Source organism: Homo sapiens, chromosome 20, assembly GCF_000001405.40.
Source record: "Homo sapiens chromosome 20, GRCh38.p14 Primary Assembly".
Lineage (NCBI taxonomy): Eukaryota > Metazoa > Chordata > Mammalia > Primates > Hominidae > Homo > Homo sapiens.
Genome location: NC_000020.11, coordinates 38,158,902 through 38,168,680, shown reverse-complemented (window position 1 = coordinate 38,168,680; position 9,779 = coordinate 38,158,902). Strand labels below are relative to the sequence as shown.

General features: G+C 52.3%; 1 protein-coding gene across 7 annotated transcripts in view, besides 1 other annotated feature; it reads left to right on the top strand.

Moving 5' to 3' along the window:
- Positions 1 to 205: 205 nt before the first annotated feature.
- TGM2 (transglutaminase 2) overlaps positions 206 to 9,779 on the top strand; it is a 41,091-nt gene continuing 31,517 nt past the window's right edge. For 3 of the 7 annotated variants that reach the window (NM_001323317.2, NM_004613.4, NM_198951.3), the window contains exons 1-2: positions 3,411 to 3,492; positions 7,082 to 7,261. In NM_001323317.2, coding sequence (NP_001310246.1) covers positions 3,483 to 3,492; positions 7,082 to 7,261 — 190 coding nt within the window. In that variant the 5' untranslated portion in view covers positions 3,411 to 3,482. Of the gene's footprint in view, positions 309 to 2,172; positions 2,279 to 3,410; positions 3,493 to 7,081; positions 7,262 to 9,779 lie in introns of those variants that run through there. The other 4 variants (XM_047440443.1, NM_001323316.2, XM_011529028.2 and 1 more) reach the window with 4 other exon arrangements.
- Positions 3,119 to 3,558: a silencer, noted in NCBI's record as "silent region_12897". NCBI's record gives its function as "represses an Ori minimal core promoter by ATAC-STARR-seq in GM12878 lymphoblastoid cells {active_cell/tissue: GM12878}" and the evidence as "EXISTENCE:reporter gene assay evidence [ECO:0000049][PMID:35858748]".

Genomic DNA, 9,779 nt, shown 5'->3' with positions numbered 1-9,779 from the left:
TGACATTTACTGAGTACTTACTATGTGACCTGTAAGCACTGTAGAAACATGATCTCTAATCCCCAGTGGCAGGGACTCTTACGATACCAATTTTATAGAGGAGGAAACTGAAGCTCAGAGAGGCCTAGTAACTTATCCAGAGTCACACAGCCAAGAGTGACCTCACAGCCCTCCTGCTCTAAGCATTGCACAACACTTCCCCTGAATAGATGACAAAGGGCCCTGATTGCAGTGTCTGGGGATCTTGAGGCCATGATCACCCTCTCTGGGACTCAGGGGAGTTTTGAAACCTTTACAGCCCCGGTGAGGTAAGACAGGGCACAGTTTCCCAGTCCCTTTGAACAAATGGGAAAACTGAAACCCAGAGAGGGGCAAGGGTGCCTGGTCACTGGGACTGGAATCCAGGTCTCTGGGCCAAGCCTGGGTTCTGGCCTCTGTCTGCCAACTTCCTAGAAGCCAGTCCTGACCCCGGCTGGCCACATCCTGGGGTTGCTCAACGCCATGCGTCACTCAGGTGGCCATAGTTCTGTGGAATGTGGGAGAGGAAGTGGGGGCAGCTGGCTGGGTGCGGGACAGGCCTGGAATTCTGTGCTAAGCCCTGTGCTGGGATCCAGGAATAATCTAATGGGATTCTTCTCACAGCCAGCATCCATTGAGGGCTGACTGTTTGGCTGCTGCTGTACAAACTCTCCATGAATTAGCTCACTCAGTCCTCATGACACTCTGGGGAGTGGGTACCAATACTGCCCCCATTTTACAAATGAGGAAACTGAGGCACAGAGGTTAAGTGACTTGCTGTGTAGTGGACATGGCTACACAGTGAGGAGGCCAAAATTTAAACCCAGAGCTGCGTGACATACCCACTCTGTGTAATGAACTAAGTCCAGGCCTGCAGGAAGAGGGAATAACAATGTTCAGAATGGAGCTGGTGCTGCTGCTGATAGAATTGATGATTTCTCAAATCAAACACTTTTGGGGGCTGGTGGTGAGCCAGGCACCATGCTGGACACTGTGGTCAAGAAGAGTTTAAAAATCTCTCGTGGGCTGGGCACAGTGGTTCATGACTATAATCCCAGCACTTTGGGAGGTCGAGGCGTGCAGATCACTAGAGCTCAGGAGTTTGAGACCAGCCTGGGCAACATAGTGAGACCTCCATCTCTACAAAAATTAGAAATATTAACTGGGCATGGTGGCGCACTCCTGTAGTCCCAGCTACTCAGGGAAGCTGAGGCAGGAGGATCGCTTGAGCCCGAGGGATGGAGGCTGCAGTGAGCAAAGATCACACCACTACACGATCTGGGTGACAGAGTGGGACCCTGTCTCAAAAAAATAAAATACTTAGGTGGCTCCCTGTCTTCTAGGGAGCTCCCAGGCTGAGGGTTTTAAAGGAAAAAATACCTGGTAGAAAAGGCCAAACCCATCCTTTCATCTGGGGCAGGGCTAACGCCTGTGGAAACACAGCCTTTGTTCTGCAGAACTGACTGTCCCCATGCCTCCCGTCTCTCCTTGAGGTCCCGAAATAGCCAGGTGCTGGGATACTTGATATTTCCATGCCAAATCTCAGGGCCCCAGTTATTGCATGCTCACCACGTATAAGGCACCCAAACTTGGTCATTTAGATTGAGTCTTACTCAGGCCTGTGAGGGAGGGATTCTTTCCCCCATTTTGCAGAGGAGGAAACTGAGGCAAAATCCTGCCCATGGCCACACAGCTGGTCAGGGGCAGAGTGGGAACTTGAACCCCGGCCTCTTGACCGACTTCCCTCTCGGTCGGGTGATTCTCCTCACGCTGCTCTTTCCTCCAAGCTTTCACCAGCTGCAGGGAGCAGTTTCTGCAACAATCTCTATAAAATGGGGCAATTACGGGTCAGCTGGGCCCAACACTCTTTGTGGGTTTGTTCACTGAGACTCCAGCCAGAGCCCGTTTGACCCAGGGAGAAATATCCACTGAAGCAACACGGGTTGTTTTCCCTGAGCCATATGTCACCTAGGAATGGAGACGGGGGCTACTTCTATCTTCCAAATTCATCAATAGATGTAGAGCTTGTTCCGGAATGTACAGCTTGTTCTGGAATGTAGAGCTTGCTCCGGAATGTAGAGCTTGTTTTGGAAAAAGTGCCAGGGAAGCCCCGTGGGCCTCTGTCTCTCCGGGAACCCTTCCCGCTCAGGGCTCACAGTGGATCCGGAAGCACAGGAGACCAAGAGACCAGAGATACCAGGATGAGAGATAGGACCCCTGGTTGCCAGGTTCGAGAAGTCCTAGGCTGAGTCCCTGGAAAGTTAGTCTTGCTCCTTTCTGGCACACAGTGGGGCCTCAAGAAAGCTCAGTGGATGGATGGATTGAGGGAGGGAGGGAAGAGAAGGCCGAGGGAGGGATGGATGAAGGGATGAGTGGATGGATAGGTGGGGGGGTAGGTGATGCATGGGTGAGTGGATGGATGGGTAGATGGATGGCTGATTAGATGGATGGCTGATTAGACAGATACAAGGATGGGTGAGATCGGAGGATTATCTGGGTTTTGCTACAGGAAGGGACATGGGTGTGTCTGTTTTTGCAGGTGTGTCTGCATGTCTGTACCTGAGTCCATGCCTGCATGTGTGTCTACCTCTGAGTAGCCACATCTTTGTGTGTCTGTGGGTGCCCTCTCTGATTTTGCGTCCACATCTGACAGTGGCATTGGTGTCTAGGAGGTCTGTGTGTGTGCCAGGTGCCTCTGGACACCTGCTCATCTGTGTCCACAGCTGTGTGTGGCTCGCGGTCAAGGCTACCTGGCTGTGTCAGGCTGTATCTATGTCCTGGTGTGTGTCTGCCATTCGAATCTGAATTTGTATCCATGTCACTGTGTCTGCGTGGCCAGCCGTGTTTGGTGTATCTGTGGGAGTGTATCTGTGTTTGTGTGTGTATCTCCACAGCCCTGTCTTGGTGTGTCTGCGTCTGCTCTCTGTGTATGTATATCTGAGTATGTGTGTGAGTGTGTGCGTGTGTGTGTGTGTGTGTGTGTGTGTGTGTTGGGGGTGGGGAGGTGTTCTTGATCCCAGATCTGACCTAAGAGTCCACATCTGTGTGTCCAGGTGCACCCCGGTTCCGTTGTGTGTTTCTATGAGGGTGCTGCGTGTGTCTGTATCTGAGTGTGTGTGTCCAGGTGTCTGTTCTCCAAGGTCTGAGTCTGTGGGTCCAGGTGTGTCTGTATCCTGGGCTAGTTGTGTGTCCCTGTCCGCTCCCCCAGGGGGCGCCCTCGTCCGGCCGCCGTCCCTCCCTCGGGCTCCGGTCCCCTGGGTGAGCCCCAGCGCTGGCGGCGTGGGCCCGGGACTGGGCAATGGGTGGCCTCCCAGGTCGCCGCCTTCCCGCGGGGCCCCGCCCCCGGCCCGCCCCAAAGCGGGCTATAAGTTAGCGCCGCTCTCCGCCTCGGCAGTGCCAGCCGCCAGTGGTCGCACTTGGAGGGTCTCGCCGCCAGTGGAAGGAGCCACCGCCCCCGCCCGACCATGGCCGAGGGTGAGTATCAGAGTCACCGCAGCCGCCACTCAGGGGCCCCGGGGCATTGGGGGTCAGGACCCGGTGGGAGCTGAATCCCTAAGTCCTGATTTGGAGAGCAACAGGCAGACCGGGCTGGGTGAGGAGGCGTCTCAATGCTGCTTGGAGCCTCAGTTTCCCCATCCACACTGCATAACCATTAACCCTTGCCTCCCTGGATCAGGTGAGGCAATGGAACGCGACGGGGTGTTGTAAACTGTAAAGTACTGTCCTGGCGGACCACTGGCACGTGTCCTCAGTCAGTCAGTGGGGGCTGGCTCTCTGATGTGTGCCTGGAGCTGTGCAGGGGGTGCTGGCCTGGCCTCAGAACACTTAGGTTTGGGTGGTTCTTGCCAGCCAGGACCAGGTGGTGTGCATGCCACGCCGGTGGTGTGCAAGCCAAGCCTGGCTGAGTCCTTGGCTCCAGCGGCCAGAGAGGAGCTTTCGGCATCCTATCCAGGAGCCTTCGGAAATCAGGCTTGTTCTTCCCGCCCTCACGTTCTGCAACCCTAGACCTTGGCCAATTGTTGAGTCTCACCTATAAAATAAGGACAACAGTGTCCTTATTTTATAGGACAAGGTTTATGAGATTTGTTTTCCCCCAAGACCCCCACCCATCTGTCACCCTGACCGTGCCCTGGTCCTCTGCTCCAGCCTTTGGTGCATCTGTGAGGAACGAGAGGAGTGGAACAGAGGCTTAACTAATTTCATACTGGTGCCCCTGACTCCCTCCCCACACACAAGCAGCACTCTCGTAGGTCCCAGCTGGAGGGATTTCTACAATGGAGGATGTCACTGCTGGACCCAGAATCCCAGCTGGCTCTTGGGTCAAGTTCATCTGGGGATGGCTTCTGCACCCATTGCAACCCCCAGGAAGGGGTGTGGGACAGGGACATGGGGCAGGTGGAGCAGGAATGGGTGGCAGGAACTGTGGACCCACCTGACCCTGCTGTGTGATCTCAGCCACCTGCCTCCCTCGGGCCCAGCTCCCAACACACTGTGATGTGTCGCCTCGGTGGCCGCTTGTCCTCAATGCATCTTCTCACCCCCATGCTCAAAAGCAGGGCTCAGTGGGGCTGGGAGATCCTGGAGATGCCAGTTATGATGAGCCTCCAGCCCCATGTCACAGTGGCCACTTCTGACAGAGGTCTCACTGGCCTAGAAGGCCTAGGCCCTTTCTAAGTGCAGAAATCCTATAAATCCTACAATTCTAGACCTGCATCTTTGGAGCTGGGCGTGATTTCTGGAAACCCTTCTTCGGACAACAGATGGAGAAAATGCCCCAGCTCCCACAGCCCAGGGACTGGCCGTATCTCCAGGGTCTTCCATGGGAACAACAATGGCCTCTTTCCTGCTCAAGCTCCCTGGGTCTGAAGTTTCCAAAAACATTTCCTCGCCGCAATAGGCCAGCAGGAAGTTTTTCCTTCTGGCCACTGAGGTCTCTTCTGTTGTGATTACACGGGGACCGACATCCCTGATACTTCAGTGGCGCAGAACTATCTGCCCCCAGGTTTGAGAACAACACAGGACATGGTGGCGAAGGGGTGGTCATAAGAGGGGCTGGAGAAAAAACTGAGCTGTAGTGAGGTGGTTCCCAGGGCAGAATCCTACAGAATCCTACAGCTCTGGATTCCAATCCCAAAGCAGCCACTTGCTCTGGGACCTGGAGCCACCTGGTGTCTTTGTCTACAAAATGGGAATCATGATAGCATCTATGTAAGCGGAGTTGTTTTGGGATTTAAGTCGAGATAATTCACATACAAGGCACTTTGCATCTCATTTTTGGAATAGTCGATGGTGAGCAGGAGACCTGGGCTCTCCCACTGCAAGGACCAACTTGCGGCGTGACTTTGAACAAATTCCTGCCCCTGGGCCTCACTTGGACCACATGCTGTCCAGTGGCTCCACACTCAGAGTCTGTCTTGCCCACTCCTCCCACCTTAAGGGCTTCCCCATCCTGACCTTGAGCTTGCCAAGGTTTATGAGATTTGTTTTCCCCCAAGACCCCCACCCATCTGTCACCCTGACCGTGCCCTGGTCCTCTGCTCCATCTGAAACTGTAAATGGAACTTTCACGTATCAAGCTTCTGTCCTGGGCTGGGCCGTGGGGAAGGGGGTTCCCAACACATCTTCTAGACTCACAGCAGCCCCTTGAGACTTCAGAGGAGGAGTCACAGAGAGGGAGAGACACTTATCCAGGCTCACACAGCAACACAGCAGAACTAAAACCTACCTCTGGAAGTCTCCAAAGCACCTATCATGTTAAAAATGTTTTGTTTTGGAGAATATTGAACATACACAAAAATAGACAGAATTGTTTAATAAATTCCTATGTCCTCATCACCCAGCACTGACCACCGTGGTGTCTCCTGCCCCTGCGCACCTTCATCTCAGACATCACATCATGTCATCTGTCAATGTTTCAGTATATGCCTTTAAAGGATAAGGACTCTCTTTTTTTTAACACAAACAAATTAACAAAAATTCTTTGATATCACCATTATGCCATCAGTATTTAAATTTCCAGTTGTCTCATACATGTAATAAATGTTTTAAAATACTTTTTTGAAATCAAGATCCAAATAGATCAATACATCACAACGGGTTTAAGTTTCTCTTTATAGGTTCTCTCTTCAATGTTTTTTTCATTTTCTTTCTTGCAATCTATTTATTAAAGAAACCGGACCCTTTGTCAATAATTTCCCAGTATATGAAGTTTGTCAACTGCATCCTGGTTCTGTGTTTAACTTGTTCCTCAGCCCTGGGTATTTCCTGTAAATTGAACATTGGATCTAAAGGCAAAGGCCATGTAATTGACCTGTACCAAATACTGCCCCTGCTTAAACCAAAAGAACCCTCTGATAGCAATAGAATAGCTCGTGTTTATTGAGTATTTATTACACAACAGACATTGTACTAAGTGTTTTACATGCATTAATTCATTTCTTGCTCACACCAGCCCTGGGAGGTAGATACTGCTGGTCCCATGGCTGCTGGAGGTCACACAGCTAGGAAGTGCCACAGGGGGTCACGACCTTGTGATTAAAAGATTTAGGCAAAGCTGGGCACTGTGGCTCGCACCTGCACTTTGGTAGGTCAAGGCAGGAGCCATCACTTGGCCCAGGAGTTCGAGAGCAGCCTGGGCAACATGGCAAAACCAAAAATGAAGAAATTAGCTGGGCACATACCTATAGTCCCAGCTCACTGATAAATGAAAAAATTAGTGGTGCACGCCTGTCCTCTCAGCTACTCAGGAGGCTGGGGTGGGACGATCCCTTGAGCCCAGGAATTCAAGGCTACAGTGAGCTATGATCACACCACTGCACTCCAGCCTGGGCAACAAAGCAAGACCTTTTCTCAATTAAATTAAAAAGAAAAAAAAGAGTTAGGGAGATTGGGCCCCACCTAGCCCCCGTGTGACCAGGGCTGGGGAGACAGGTCAGTCGAAACAATGGCTGTGCTTTGTGGGGAGTAAGAGGGCACAAGGCCCCCATGTCTAGGGAGGGCAGGTGCATCACTGGAGGTCTGAAGGATGCCCCCGAGGCTCATGCGTCTCCTTCTGTTTCCATAGAGCTGGTCTTAGAGAGGTGTGATCTGGAGCTGGAGACCAATGGCCGAGACCACCACACGGCCGACCTGTGCCGGGAGAAGCTGGTGGTGCGACGGGGCCAGCCCTTCTGGCTGACCCTGCACTTTGAGGGCCGCAACTACGAGGCCAGTGTAGACAGTCTCACCTTCAGTGTCGTGACCGGTGAGTACCTGCAACCCCACTCCACCACCACCACCACCACCACCACTTCCTCTCCACCCCGACATGCCCCAGAACCCTGACAGAGAACAGGACAAATAACTTTACCTTCTTTGTTCCCTGGGAGATTGCCACCTGTCATCAGCCCCATTTTAGAGATGAGGGAACTGAGGCCCGGAAAGGAAGGAGATGTCATGGCAGACCACCAGCTTTGTGAGCAAGTCTGTGCCTCTGGAACCCTGAGCTTCTGAAAGCCTATTATCACCAGGGTTGCAGGTCAGCCTTCAACCAGGAAAGTTGATCAGGATCCCATCCACAGGCTGGGCGTGGTGGCTCACACCTGTAATCCCAGCACTTTGGGAGGCTGAGGAGGGCGGATCACCTGAGGTTGGGAGTTCAAGACCAGCCTGACCAACGTGGAGAAACCCTGTCTGTAGTAAAAAAATTCCTATCCACAAGCCAGGCATGGTGGTACATGTCTGTAATCCCAGCTATTTGGGAGGCTGAGGTGAGAGGATCATTTGAGCCTAGGACTTTGAATCCAGCCTGGACAACATAGCAAGACACCACCTTAAAAGAAAAAAGAAAAAGATCCTGTCTGCCCTTTCCCATATCAAAACAACTTTCTAATCTCTCTGCTGCCTGAAATCCACGCAACCCAGCCAGGCACTGGGATCAGGCCCAAATCAGGCCTGGGTGGCAGAGAAAAAGCCCAGCTAGCTTCAGCCTTCCATGTGGGCAGTTCTGGGTCCCAGCAGTTCATTCTCCAAGCATTAGGAGGCTGCCTCAATCTCCGGGGCTGGACAGAAAGACTAGGATTCTAGCGCAGGCTGGGCTGCCTACCTGCTGTGTGACCTTAGGCAAATTACTTAACCTCTCTGAGCCTCTGAGGTTTCATCATCTGAAAGCCCTCACATTGGAAGGTTGTTAAGTGTCTGCTATGGGGGAGGGCCTGCAGATATTTGCAGCTGTTACTTATCTTTGTACTGGGGCCCCAGGGATAGGTAAAGGGACACCAAGTCCCCAGGCGTCTCATCCCCAGATGCGTGATGCGCAATTTTCTTTGTTGGCCATTCCTGGGAAAATGGCCTCAAATGCCAAATCAGTGGGTCTGGTTTCTGGTGGCAGCCATTCCCTTGAGGTCAGTGAGGGGCCACCTGGCTAGGACTCGGGTTGGGAAAGGCCAGCTCTTTCTGAAGTCTCTGAGGGCAGAGATGGCAGCAAGCATTCCTTGGCTGAGGCCTGCATTGAACTAGAAGGCTGTTGATAAGGCTTATCATGGGGACTGCAGCCTAGCCTCGGATAGCTCCTCCATCCTTCTCCTCCCTGCCCCTGCCCTCCTGGTGGAGACACACCCACTGCCCAGGGGCTCCCCCACAAGCACACTGGCCCCCAAAGTTCTCTTGCTAACAGAGCCAAGGAGCCCCCAGCAAGTCTCTGACCCTCCAGTCTCAGTTTCCCCCTTTACGAAGTGAAAAGTTAGGGTACATGGCAGTTAAGGGCTGGGTCTGGTGGCCTGAGAAGAGTCAGACTTGTGATAGTGAAAATCACAACATCTGTGGGGCACCCACTGAACGCATGCTTGTCTTGAATCCTCGCAGCTTAGAAGTTATAAAGGACTCCATTTTGCAGATGGGAAAGCTGAGGCTCAGAAAGGTCAAGTCACTGGCTCAGGAAGGTCAGTCACACAGTGAGTCAGGGACACAGAAGGCTTCAAACCCCGACTGCAGAGTGAGGCTTTTCATCCCTATGTCCCTGCAGCAGGCGCATTTATCACAAGTGCCTGCCAGGGCTCAGTGTGTTCCTCTGTGAAATGGAATGGTAGATGAGCTGCTGGCTTGGGCAGCCTGTGATTTCTACTTTCTTTTTTATTTATTTTTCTTTCTTTCTTTCTTTCTTTTTTAAAACTTTTATTTTAGGTTCATGGGTACACGTGCAGGTTTGTTATATAGGTAAACTCGTGTCACGGGGGTTTGTGGTACCGATTATTTTGTCACCCAGGTGCTAAGTCTAGTACCCAAGCGTTATTTTTTCTGCTCCTCTCCCTCCTCTCACCCTCCACCCTCAAGGAGGCCCCAGTGTGTGTTGTTTCCCTCTATGCGTCCATATGTTCTCGTCATTTCTCTCCCACTTATAAGTGAGAACATGGGGGATTTGCTTTTCTGCTCCTGCGTTCGTTCGCTGAGGATAAGGCTGCCTTCTTTCCTCTTCTTTCACTCCAGATGTCCCCTTTCTTATTTCTCCTTCTCCAATTGTCTGGGCAGCGTAGTGTTAGGTAATTAGGGCCCTGAGTTTGGGGTTGGGTGAAGGGCTGCTGCTGACCTTCCCACCTCAGCAAGCTAATCTCTGTCCTCCAGTCTCCACCAACTTATCTCAAACCATAACCAACCTGCCCCGGTCACTTCCGCAGCCCCTGTAGGCAGCCACGGAAGAGCCCAGATCTCTGAGTACAGAGTGCACACAGCTTCCCTGTCCAAGCAACCAAGAAATTCCCGGGGCCCGGAGAAGCCTGAGGGACAAT